The sequence below is a fragment of the Homo sapiens genome, chromosome 3, assembly GCF_000001405.40.
Source record: "Homo sapiens chromosome 3, GRCh38.p14 Primary Assembly".
NCBI classification, from domain to species: Eukaryota; Metazoa; Chordata; class Mammalia; order Primates; family Hominidae; genus Homo; species Homo sapiens.
The window spans coordinates 186146930-186160819 of record NC_000003.12 but is presented as its reverse complement, the minus strand read 5'-3'; the positions used below and the strand labels follow the sequence as shown (position 1 = coordinate 186160819).

Here is a 13890-nt window from a genome sequence, read left to right as displayed (position 1 = left end):
TTAGAAATGCAGCTAGAATCTCGTGGTGAAGAGCAATCGTCGTCCTGGTTTTCAGGGCCTCTGCTGGGATACTACATGCGTAATACCCTCAATAAGATTGCAGCTATGCAAATTTCAAAAGACAAAAGTGGAGTTTCTAAGCTTCCTCACTCTAGTGGAGTATTCAGATACTTTGATCACCTGCTATTTTGAGCCCTCCAGAACATCAAATTGTCTTCTACTAAAGGAAGGTTTCCATGAACCTGCTGAGAAAAGGTAGCATCTTCTATAAAGGTTATCAAAAACAGAAATTTCTCTGCAAAAATCTTACCTCAATCTTATGAAGACCAAGAAAAAAATGAAAACACACTATATCAAATAATAGCTTTCCACCTTGCTGGAGTTAGGACGCATAGAGGGAATTTCTACTATTTATCATTTGATGGAACTGAGTTGAGAAGAATCTATCCAAGTTCCTTTTATCTCCAACCCCCCTACAAAAAAAAAGGTGGAAGAAATCAAACCCTCTCCTACCTGGTTCAGTCCTAGCTGAAAACTGGATTGCTATTCCTATAAATTCAAGCACTGGATTTTGAAATAGCCAAATGCTTCTCCCTATGCCCACACCCACCCTTCCTCCATACCACCCTTTAGAGATTACAACTCACTATGAAAAAATTTGTGAACCAATGATTTCATAGTGTGAGGCCCAGAAATCCGTATGTAAAGGTATATTCGTCTGCTTTGAGTGCCATAATAGAATACCACAGACTGACAGCTTAAACAACAGAAATTTATTTTCTCACAGTTCTGGAGGCTGACAACACAAGACCAAGGTGCCGGAAGGGCTGGTTTCTGGGGAGGCCTCTCTTCCTAACTTCCAACGGCTGCCTTCTTGTTGTATCCTCACATGGCTTTTCCTCTGTGTTTGTACACTCTTTTCTCTTCTTATAAGGACACCAGTTCTAAGGGATTATGGCCCCCCCGCCCCTTGTGACCTCATTTATCCGTTATTACCTCCTTAAAGGCCCTACCTACAAATATAGTCACACTGGGGGTTAGGAATTCAACATATGAATTTGGGGGGGACACAATTTATTCCATAACAGAAGGTAACAGAAAATCATTCTTAAACTTGCAAGGGTTAAAACCCATGTACCCCTTGTTGAAACATCTTCTTGAAGGTATACACCAACTAAGAAGTGATTCAAAATTAAAGCCTTAAGAATGGACTATCACAGCCCAAAAGAACTTTTGGTAAAAATGGAAACCAGTGAAATTAGAATGAAGTTTCCAAAAACCTGCTAAATATGTTTATGCAATAAATGCAAATGGCAAAAAATCATTCTTTGAAAGAGAAGACATATCATGTAAATATTAATAACCTGTATCCCAAACCTGAGATTATATTAACAAAGGCCAAAAACATGCAGGAGACACTGCTGAAGGAATAGTAAAGATATGTGAAGTTTCTCATTGTCTCTCTTCACTTTGATGACAAAACGTATAAATCAGAAGATAATTTTAATAGGTAGACAATCACTAGCGAAACTAAAAATAGGGTGCACACCTTTCAAATCTGGAAGAATTTAAAATATATAAACCCTATTAATGTAGCACAGGATAGAAAGCAAAAAATAAGCCAACATTTAAAAATTTTTTGAAGCAAGTTGAATGATGTTAAGACTGTATATATATAATATATATATAAAAGAAAAATAGATGAGTTAAAATTCCCTATTAAAAGATCAATACTCTCATATTGAGTTAAAAATGAAAATCCAAATATATGCTTCTTACAAAAGATACATCTAAAATGAAAGGTTATACATACGTATATATAATATATATCTTATTTTATCCTTTATCAGGTATAAAGAAATTAAAAGGAAGACATAGTAATGTTAATTATGCTAATTTTAGGCAAACTAACCTTTCCATGTGCCTAAAGCATAAAGCAGAATAAGTAAACACATTTTTTATTTGATAAAAAGTACATTCAATTATGAGATATAGTGGTCATAAAATGTTAGATATTTAATAACAGAATCAAAATATATAAAAAACTATCAATACATATTCTGAGAAAAGGTTGATATAGAATTGACAGACAGATATTGAGAAGCTTGAAAATATTTGTTTCCATCTTTGAGGTTAAGTAGCAAAAAAATAAATGCTTGGATGAAATAACTCTATAACTCATAAAGAAATTAAATATCATATTTGTTCAGGCATTCATATTTATTAAACTAGATCATAAACTAGTTTACAAGGCAAAAAGCTCCATAAAATCCAGTTGCAGAAATTATAAAGGTCATTTTCTTTGACCACAAAGTAATAAAGCTAGAAATTACTAATAGAAGATTAAGTGAATAAACAAAATTTAGTCACTTGGAGACTTAAAAATTCTCCTAAACAACAAGAGATTTATGAGGAGATCAAAGCCACCATGGTAGATTACTCAAAAAATTACAAAAATAAGAAGGCTCCAGTTTAAAAATTATAGAATATAGCCTAAACTATATTTGGAAGTAAATTAAAAGCCTCATAATCTTCCATCATATAAAAAAGAAGTAAAATGTAATGAATAATACTAAAATTAGAAGAGCAATAATAAAACAATCTTAGGAGAAGCAGAAGGAAGAAAATAATAAAGATAAAAGAAGAAAATAACTAAAAACAGGAAACTCTAGAACTAGTTCTTAAAATATGTCAAATGTTTGAAAACCTAATTTTTAAAAGAGAAAGGAATCAAACATATTAAAAGGTAAAAAATATAAATGTAATATAAAAATATAAATATAACTGTGTCCGTGGCTTTATTTAAATATAAAACAAGGCCGGGCGTGGTGGCTCATGCTTATAATCCCAGCACTTTGGGAGGCTGAGGCACGAGGATTACTTGAGGTCAGGAGTTTGAGACCAGCCTGACCAGCATGGCTAAACCCCATCTGTACCAAAAATACAAAAATTAGCCAGGCATGGTGGCCCATGCCTGTAATTCCAGCTCCTCGGGAGGCTGAGGCATGAGAATCGCTTGAACTCAGAGGCAGAGGTTGCAGTGAGCCAAGATCACACTACTGCACTCCAGCCTGGGCGATGGAGTGAGACTCTGTCTCAAAAGAAAAAAAATTGTAAAACAAAATATACAATCATCTTGATTCTAATGAACTTGAACATCTTAAGAAGATGAATGAAAATCCTGGTAACCATTAATGAAACTAAATTATTTCAAAGAATTACATACTAAATGATCTTAAAACAGATGGCCTTATTGGTGAGATCTTCCATACTACTAGGAAATACGTATTTAGGTGAACTGTTTCATAGTACAGACAAAGATGGAAGGCTACTCAATCCATTTTATGAAATGAAGACATGCAATAACCTAACAAAAATTACATTTAAAAATAGAAGACTATAGACTATAGACTATATATAAATATGACATAAGAATTCTAGTTAAAAGTATTGGTAGGTAGAATTGAACAATGTATTAAAAGAATCATTCACCCCTATGAGCATATTAAAGGAACAAAGGAAAGTCTTCTACTATTAGTTTAAATAGAAAAACTACATGATAAAATAGATGACCCAAAAGTATTCAATTACATTCAACATTTCTGATTTTTAAAGATAAAAACTCCTGAAAACTAAGATCAGAAAGCTTCTCCCCTACTAATGAATACCTTTGTTAAATATATGTTAAACCATAACCAATATTTTACTTAATAGTAAAACACTAGAGGAATTCTCACTAAAATCATGAACAAGACATGTATTTTTAACATTGGAAATTTTAGCCAATGCAATATATACTTGAAGCAGAAAAGAAATGTAATTAGAAAATATAATTAGAAAAAGAAATATAATTATTTGGAAAAGAGTCAAAACTGTCATTATTTGTAGGTGGTATGATTATGAACATAAAAAGCTAATAGAATAAACTGAAAACCTCAAAGGATAAATTACTTCAATAAAACCCTATAGAAAAAATGGACAAATATTAAGTTTTCCGGCATTAATATTAATAGTATACCAGCAATAATCAATTCAAAGGATATAATTAAAGCTTAAAATATCATTATATAAGCAATAAAAGACATAAAATACTAAACTGAACTGTGTAAAATGCATGAAGATGACTATAAGATTTAACCAATAAAGAAAAAAAAAAAGGATTTGAACACAGAACATCCCATGTTCCTGAACAGGGATCCCAAAATCCCAATGCAATTGTTTCTTTAACTCTACAAACAATGCAATTTCTAGGATGTTTTATAAAAGAACGCTGAGAAATAACTTCTCGCAAGATATTAAAATAATTATAAAGCCACAATAATTTGAATAACATGCTATTGGCATGATAATGGATAGATAAATCAATAGTACAGAAGCAAGCCTTGAGAAACCCTAGTATACATAAAAACTAATGAAGGAAAGAGAAAGATTATAAACTAATTAGGTAGGCATGAACTGTTTAGCATATGATATCCAAGAAATTGCGTTTCAGAAAATGTCTTTATATAGAACCTCTCACCTCAAACTATATTCCAAAAACAAAACCAAAGCAAAAAAAAGCCCCCCAGTTCAATTACAGTATTAAATGTTCTTAGCTACCAGAAAAAAAATAGATGATCATAATTACACTGGGGGCAGGGATTTTCTAAGGAAAAAGGGACATATTTGACTGTTAACCAATTTTAATTTCTACAAGTCAAAAATCAATATAGAATCTTCGAAAGACTAAGGACAAGATGTTTGCAATCGCTATCCCAAAGATCAGGTTAATTCTCACAAGGTATAAAGAAACCAGCTATTAGAATCCAGCGGAAAAAAAAAATACTAACAATGCAATAGTGAACAGAGAATTCATAGAAGAAGTGTCATGGGCTAATAAATCTATGAAATAATATTTAATATCACAAGTTTTTAAAAAAGGAAGAAAAGATTTTCAAATTAAAACAGTGAGAAAGGCATGCCATGTTTCACTGACCAATTAGCACAGCTGTTTTGTCTTTATATTCATTGCTGTCAAGGGTATGGGGAGACCAGGACACTCATACAGTGAGGCAAGAGTATCAACAGTTACAGCCATTCTGAAAAGCATGTAGACCCATGTGTCAAGAACTGTTATAAATATTAATATACGTTGATCTAGTTCATTTACTTTCACTTTTAAAAATTGTTCATATACTTCTAGGAATTTATTCTAAGTAAAATACAGATTACCAGAAATACAGAGAGATTGATATATAAGAATGTCACGTCTACATTACTTATCATTGCAAAAAGTTGGAAATTTCCTAAAAATTTCCTTAAAATGCCCAACATTTAGGGAAAGGTTTCAGCTGGGCACAGTGGCTCATGCCTGTAATCCCAGCACTTTGGGAGGCTGAGGCAGGCAGATCACGAGGTCAGGAGTTCAAGACCAGCCTGGCCAACATAGTGAAACCTCGTCTGTACTGAAAATATAAAAAATTAGCCGAGCATGGTGGTGGGTGCCTGTAATCCCAGCTATTCAGGAGACTGAGGCGGGAGAATCACTTGAACCCGGGAGGCGGAGGTTGCAGTGAGCCGAGATCACGCCGTTGCACTCCAGCCCAGGCGACAGTGCGAGACTCCATCTCAAAACCAAACAAAAACAAAAACAAAACAAAACCAAAATAAAACAAAAACAGAAGCCCATATTTGTTTATATATGTATATACAAACATATATATATATTTATTCGGGAAACTTGTCTCATTATTATTACACTGTAAGATGATCTCTCGTGCTTCACCATCACAGTTAGGTGGCATAATCTGAGCCTCAAAATTCAGAATCTTCTCCCAGAGTTAGACGATAGCAGAATCTCAAAGTCAAAGATGATCCTACTTATCTAGTCTGGTGATTCTCAGACTTGAGTATGCATCTACATAACCTACAGGGGTTCTGAAACACAGATTGCTGGGCCACATCCCAGATTTTCTGGTTCAGTAAGTCTGGATGCCAGAGAGTTTTCATTTCTAACAAGTTCCAAGGTGATGCTGATGCTGCTGGCCTATGAGCCACACTTTGAGAACTAATGACGTAGTTGAACTTCCCAACTCATCAATAAATCCCACACTTCTTCCCCACCCTCTGCAAAACCTGATTGTCCAGTTACATTCTTTTTTTTTTCTTTTTCTTTTCTTTTTTTTTTTTTTTTTTTGAGACAGAGTCTCGCTCTGTTGTCTAGGCTGGAGTGCAATGGCACGATCTCGGCTCACTGCAACCTGTGCCTCCCAGGTTCAAGTGATTCTCCTGCCTTGGCCTCCCAAGTAGCTGGAATTCCAGGCGCCCACTACCACACCTGGCTAATTTTTGTATTTTTTAGTAGAGACGGGATTTCACCATGTTGGCGAGGCTGGTCTCAAACTCCTGACCTCAGGTGATCTGCCCCACCTCGGCCTCCCAAAGTGCCAGGATTACAGGTGTGAGCCACTGCGCCTGGCCTTGTCCATTTACATTCGAAGGCCTCTGATGGCAGGAAACACTGTCAGGAAGCAGCACATTCTAGGATCTTGGAGAGCCCGGAAACAACTAAGACCGGAAAGCCATGCAAACCTTCCTCCTCCCTTAGGCTCACCATATTTCTTTAACTTTTAAAATATCGCAGAGACTATTTGAGACCTTCCAGATTTGTGCCTTTCTATGCATCTCCAGTTCAAATTACAGCAGACCTCAGACACTTTTCTTTTTTGTTGTTTTGTTGTTGTTGAGACAAGGTCTCACTTTGTCACCCAGGCTGGAGTACAGTGGCGAGAACACGGCTCACTGCCGCCTCGACCTCCCAGGCTCAAGCGATCCTCTCACCTCAGCCTTCCAAGTAGCTAAGGGCGCGCCTCCACGTCTAGCTAATTTTTGTATTTTTTGTAGAGACGAAGTTTCACCATGTTCCCCAGGCTGGTCTTGAACTCCTGCGCTCATGCGATCTGCCCCTCTGGGCTTCTCAAAGTGCTGGGATTACAGGCGTGAGCCACCGCGCCTGGCCCCTCAGACACCTTTCAAATGGTTTGGGAAGGGTTCACACTTCAGGTTATTGGCCATTTTACTAGGCATTATCTGAATTACACACCCTGAGAAGGCAACATTCAGGAAGAAGTCCCTCAATCTCTTGCTTCTCTTGAAGTAATAAGAATGTGTTGGTTTGCAGAAAACAGCCCCCAACAAAGTCAATCCCCAGCACTAGTGAAGTTCACATTTTTATTCTATTTTAAAGGGGAAATTACATGCTGTAATAGTTTTGTGAACTTCGAACTATCATGCAAGAGTCTAGTGTATCAATTCTCTCTGTGATCAAACAGAAAACTATGCACTAAGCTGCTGATCTTAGCACTTGGCCAGGTGCTGTCAGTGATGTGAATAGTTTTTAAGAAAATCATGGAGACTTTAGTTAATGGCCTGACTCGCCCAATTACCAAAGAAGCTTGGGTGCTAACTACAGAAACGTGGGATGACCTCTTTCTATCAGGGTTTGAAAAGGCAGGCTTAGCCACATCCAACTACCTCCTAAAATAGGATCATAACTATTTTACCTGCTAGCCCCTAATTTGAGGGTAAGGGACTGATATCTCTTTGACTGGAAATGAGGATATGATTTCATACTTCTTTCGGTTCTATAGTAATAGAATCCACAAAGCTGACCAAAATATTATGTTACCCAGGAGCCCCAGACTCCTACCCTGTCAAGACCTTTGTCAGAACCGCTGAAAAACAAGCAGGAGAGATTTGAGTTTTACTTCCTCTTCCGTGCCCTGGAGGTACTAACTAGCAAATAAATAGCTCAGCTAAAGGGATAAAAAAGAGAAGCAAGGGTCTTGTGTCATCTAAATAAAAAAAAAAAAAAAAAAAAGGCCGGGCGCGGCAGCTGGTGCCTGTAATCCCAGCACTTTGGGAGGCCGACACGGGCGGATCATGAGGTCAGGAGATCGAGACCATCCTGGCCAACATGGTGAAACCCCGTCTCTACTAAAAATAAAAAAATTAGCCAGGCATGGTGATAAGCACCTGTAGTCCCAGCTACTCAGGAGGCTGAGGCAGAAGAATCGCTTGAACCTGGGAGGTGGAGGTTGCAGTGAGCCGAGATTGCATCACTGCACTCCAGCCTGGGTGATAGAGCGAGACTCTGTCTCAAAAATAAAAAAATGTGGGGGAGGGGCTCTACCAGCGGGAAATGTAGGCACCAGCTACCATCCTCTGCTTCCAACAGAGCCATCTCCACTGCCAGCACGTAGGGCTTATCAGTCAGTACTTCCACAGTGTGTTGTACCCTGAACAGGCACTGCACTGGCTCAGAGAGTGCCGTGGTGAATAAGCTGAAGTCCTTCCCCTCATGGGCATGGGAGATCAGGAGTGAGAGAAGGCTGACCACAGGGGAACATGCCACAAACGTGTTCCACAGGGGAACAAAGAATGCTACATTGCATGCCACAGATAAGTGCTGTCCGAGTCTCCAGTCTCCAGCCTATGCCTCGCTTCCGTGCGTCCTGGGATAAACATAATGCCCACAATAAGACACACAGCACAAAATGATGTTGATGCATTCTCGGTTTTCTCCTCTGGTGACTATCAAAAAACAGAGACTCTCTCCCCTTTTAGGTCTCTGGGCTGGTGGAAGCCAACATAAGGATCATTTTCAGCTTTTAGCACCAGGTTATGCTAATTGTCCACAGTGTCTTCTGGTTCTATCCTTCCCTTCCATTTCCTGGAGCCCTTTATTTTTATTTTATTTTTTTGAGATGGAGTCTCTCTCTGTCGCACAGGCTGGAGTGCAGTGGTGCAATCTTGGCTCACCACAACCTCCGCCTCCCGGGTTCAAGTGATTCTCCTACCTCAGCCTCCCACGTAGCTGGGATTACAGGTGCCTGCCACCACCTCCAACTAATTTCTGTATTTTTAGTACAAACGGGGTTTCACCATGTTGGCCAGGCTGGTCTCAAACTCCTGGGCTCAAGTGATCCGCCCATCTCAGCCTCCCGAAGTGCTGGGATTACAGTTCCTGGAGCCCTTTCAATGTAAACCTGGCTTACAGTAGTGCCCTCTTAGCCAGGCACTCACTACCCCAGCTCACCTTGACAACAGCTGTTAAATAATTTCCCTCAAACTCTTTTCTTTTGTGTCATGTTATTCTCCAGCACAGAATGCCATCTCTCATGCTTCCTCATTTCTTCATGTGAACCCAGTCTTTCTGCCTCCCTTTAAAACCCCACACCAGCTGCCCCACCTGTGTCCATGACCACATTTCTCATAGTTTGCCCTGAACTCAACCTGCTCATCTGTGACTTCTCTACCCACTCCCTTTTCATCAACACATTTCCTTTCCTTCCTTCAGATTTTAAAATTCTTTCCTCCTTGTTCCCATCAGACTTTTCTCATTCCATGCCCACCTTGTTTTGGACACCACTTGGTTTAGCCGACATTGATTTAAACTCGTTGATGGTTCTGTGTTCAAGAGTTCTGTTGTTCCCTGCGGTCACACTGTCATTTCCTATAATGTGGTAAAAACCACAAGAATGAGTTCATAGGTTCTGTTTCTTTTGACATCCATCTTTCTCCTTCTCTTTCTCCATAAGACAAGGATTTTACTAACTGTTACTTTCCATTTTACAGTTTACAGTGGGCTTTCATTGACAATCTATTCTTTGATCTTTGTGAGGAAAATAAGACAAATGTTATCCTCCTCATTTACAGTTCAGTAAGCACTGGCTCTGAAGAGTCAATGATTCATCTAAATGTTCACAGCAAAGAAGTGGAAGTGTCTGGACTCAAACCCAGGTCTTTGAATTCTAATTGCTTCCTGTTCCCACTTCATCGTCCTACTCTGAGCATTATCATACTTAATAAATATTGTGGATGGATAATGTAGATTATTAAGGTGGCAAGGCCACACTCAGGTAGGAATTAACTATTTCAAAGCCATGACCTGAGGATAAGGTTGGGAATAAAGGCAAAAATGAGAATACATCAGTGTCTTTCACTTCTGATTGACTTAAAGTTTACAGGAGGAAACACTTATAAACCCTAAAATTTAAAGAAAAAAAAGTTTTAAAAAGAATTTGGGGTCTTCCCTCGAAGGCCAAGAAAAGAGGAAATACATAAGGCACTCAATTGGGAACTCTCCACATAATGGTGCTTGGTCAGAGGTCAGACCAAAGCCTCGGTCACTTGATTGACATCTCAGCACTGCCTTGGCAGGAATGACCAGGAGCAATGGAGGCTGGGAATCTGAAGAACTGGGCTCTAATTGTGCTGCTGCTCTGTTTGTGAACTTAGGCTACTCTAATGGGCTCCTGCAGAGGGGTCGATTGAGTCCCTGAGGTCTCCTCTGGCTGTGACATTCTGAGAGTCTGTGAATACCAAGAACACAAGACAGGTGTGAGCTGATCACCACGTGGGAAGCTCACACCTGTCTCTCCCCAGTGCTTCCGCCCCTCACTTCCAGCCGTGCCAAACTCCAGGCCCAGTCAGGGTCAAGTTGCCAATTTTGAAGCCGTTCAAGGACAGTTGTCCTTCTGCATGGGGCTCCTTCCATCCTGAAGCTGGCCTTTCCTTTCTCTGCGACTCACTCTCCCTTAGGCTACTGAGATTTGCATGCCACTAATTCATTTCTGCCTCTTTGCTTTTAGATTAAAATTACTCACAAGAACCAAGCGCCCATGATGATGGGGCCTCCCCAGAAGAGCAGCTTCTTCTCGTTGAGAAGGAAGAGCCGTTCAAAAGACTAAACAGTGTGCCAAACACCAGCTAAACCAAGAGAGAAAGCAAGAAACTATAATGCACACTCACACACAATTTATGTGCACACTCACACATGCACACACACACACACATACACACTCTTCTCTAACCAGTGGAAGCAAAGCCACCCTTCGGGAAGAAAACGTCACCTTGCCATACATTCTGTTTCAACAGTGGGTACACCCCTAACAGAGCCAGTGCCAACAAAACATTTTGAATGGACTTAGGGCCCATGAGGTTGTGGCTGGCTTAGGCAGCAACCTCCACATTCCCACAGGCCTTGAGCAGAATTTTCTGAGACTGAAGGGAAATCCCCCTTTCTTTCTACCAGCCCTGCAAGTTTCCTCATGGACGCTCGCGAGGAGCAGGCTGCAGGTTTCCTGCCTATGGTGAGATCAGATGTGGCCAAGGGAAGGAGCTCTGGTTCCAGAGAATTTGCACAAAGTTCCCTCTGTACAGAGACAAAACGGCCTCCGGCTCTCAGAGCATAATCCTTGGCAGGGCTCAGCAGGCGCACGTTGGTTTCTTGGTCGTCCTTTGAGTGACAACTTCTCCGTGAACCTGCTGAAGAGGCAGAAAGGCTGTGGAAAGCTGTATTTCCATTCTTGGGTTTCTGCGCCGTCGGTGGGCACTTGTTATTTTCCAGGAACCTTCTCCTGGTGTCTACATGTTTGCTTAGAGGCGGCTCCAAGAGCCCCCAGAGCTGCCTGCATAGCACACCTTAGATGTGGTATTTATTTTCTTAGTTCTGTGAACACCTGGGAGGGAGAGCGGAGAAACTGGGATTTATTTTTCAAATTGGTGTCATAATATTGTGTAAAAAGGGAAGGAAAAAAAAAACCACCCCCAGCTTCTTTCTTTTTCAAGCCAAAGCGTGTTTCCTGTTTGAGTTCCAAGCCCTGGTGGCAGACTATTCCTGAAGGCAGAAAAGATGGGAAGGAAGGAACTTTGCTGGGGAAACCAGGAGACGGTTCCCTCCTGCTTCTTTGCACTCACCACTCCCAGAGTATGACCTGAAGGACCTTCTGATGGTCTTAACGTGTGTGCGCGCGTGTGTGTGTGTGTGTGCGTGTATATATATATATTTAGCCTATATATTTATATATATATATATATAAATATTTATTTACTGATGGACTTTTCCTCATTGGAAAAAAAAAACATAGGTAGTATGAGACAGAAAGTGGTAAGGAAAAAGAAGGTTCTCACTCCCCCACTCCACCGTTTCATTGTCAGGACGCATCTCCCTGTGGTGATCACAAGGGTTAAGGGGAATGAAAGTAGCTCCCTATTATGAACGAAGAGACCGAGAACTCCTATTCTGGATCCTCAAAACAAGCATGAAAGACCTGCTGGGCTGGATTTACTCTCCCATTTGTCAGATAAGAAAATTGAGTCTCAGAAAAGTTCAGAGACTTTTCCATGGTGTCTTGGCTAATGCAGCTTGAGAGTAGGTGCCGTTACAAAGATATTTAATGGAGAAAAGAACCCACACATCTCAGAGTAGGGTCATTTCTGGTCACTGAAAAGTGAGTCCACTTGGATCCAGGTTGCCAGGGAGGAACAAACGTACAGCACATGCGTGGATGGGATATCCCCACACAAGAAAACGAGCGCCTCATGCTGCTTCCCAGAGGTTCTCTCTGACCTGAATGGAAAAGAAGTTGGTCTGAGATCGAAGGTACTAAACAGATCATCAGACTGAACTCTCCACATGTCACCTCATCATGGTCATCATAGTCTCTTAGTTTGGAAACAACCTTGGCTGCAGGGATGACCTCAGTGGAGAGTCACAAGAAGGACTGAGGCGTCTTCTGCAAGATACTGCCAGCCAGGACAGAGGGGTCTCAGCAGAGCTCAGTGGGCTTCATTCAGCAAGTGCCAGCATTACCATCCTTTCCCAAGGGCAAGGCCATGCAGAGCTTCATTGGGCCTCCATCCCTCTCTGAGATTTATCAGTGGAAACTTGGACCCACTTGATATCGTTCCACTGAGCTGCCTCTAATCTTGCATTGGACAGGAGCTTTGGACAAAGAAGGGAATATTAAGATTGTGTGTACAAATGGCACTTAACTGTGAAGGACCACCTAGGAGCAAGATCTTGGACCATTCTGCTCAACCTAACAGTGCAGAATGCTAAGTAAGGGGAAAACCAGGCCACCTGAAGAATATCTTTAATGATGGTATTCTTGGTGATGGGACCAACAAGCTCCAGAATTACTACAGGTACTATCTTGGAAGCCACTTGTTTCTGAAACTGAGGCAGGTTCAGGTTTGGGGTCACTGATTCTAAGACATTTACAGAAGTTCGTGCATGTGTTTCAGCCATGATCCCCAAGATTGAGGCTATTGAGACATGGCACTATCAACAGGTGAAATTGATTCTCAGAGACTCACAGGTCTCATGAAGGGGCAGTGCAGAAAATGGCCCTTACCTGCTGCACCCTAGTGCACAGGACTTGCAATGTTGCTTGAGAGACATATCCCAAGTCCTTCTTAGAGGCATGGAGTATAACAACTTCAGTGGAATTGCACTTCCAGTTTGGTAACCTTAGTAAATCTTGTGTTGTTGTTTAATCGTGCCTTGCAAATCATCCTTTAAACACTATGACTGTGGTTTCTTGTGGTGGAGTCCCTCATCATAGTGACCCTCATAGCAACCTCTGAGGTTAGCAGAGAAGGTATTATTATCTCGATCTCAATGAGGAGAACAAGGCTTAATGAGGTTTAGTGACTTCTCAAAGCCACATGGTTAGTCAGGGGAGAACCTAATCCCTTATTTCTTATCTTATTCTGATTCTGGCCATGCTACAAACATGTTCTCACCTGCCCCCCATGCTTCTACCCCAACAGCAATAAAAACTGTAAAGCAGGAACTCTCTAGTACATTGTGTTGTCCCTAAACTGATGGGCTAGGAATTGTGTCTCATTATGGCTTAGTCTTTGTGGGTTTTCCCCAGTGAGTTGAGAGTGGAGATAGACCTAGTAGGATGATTATATTCAGGTCAGAGACCAGCTCCTCTCAAGAGAGTTCTTTCCACAGATGGAAAAGATACGTTAAAATTGCCAAATAAATTAGGAAATACTTGGCAGAACCTGGAAGAGCCTCCAGACTGGCGTTACATAACATGCATATACATTATACAT

The 13890-nt window shown here is 40.5% G+C and overlaps 1 protein-coding gene across 3 annotated transcripts in view; it reads left to right on the top strand.

The window, feature by feature from the left end:
- Nucleotides 1–13619, top strand: part of DGKG (diacylglycerol kinase gamma) — a 215034-nt gene extending 201415 nt beyond the window's left edge. For all 3 annotated transcript variants that reach the window (NM_001080745.2, NM_001080744.2, NM_001346.3), the window contains one exon: nucleotides 10632–13619. In NM_001080745.2, the coding sequence (NP_001074214.1) occupies nucleotides 10632–10730 (99 nt within the window). In that variant the 3' untranslated portion in view covers nucleotides 10731–13619. The remainder of the gene's footprint in view (nucleotides 1–10631) is intronic.
- The last annotated feature ends 271 nt before the right edge of the window (nucleotides 13620–13890 follow it).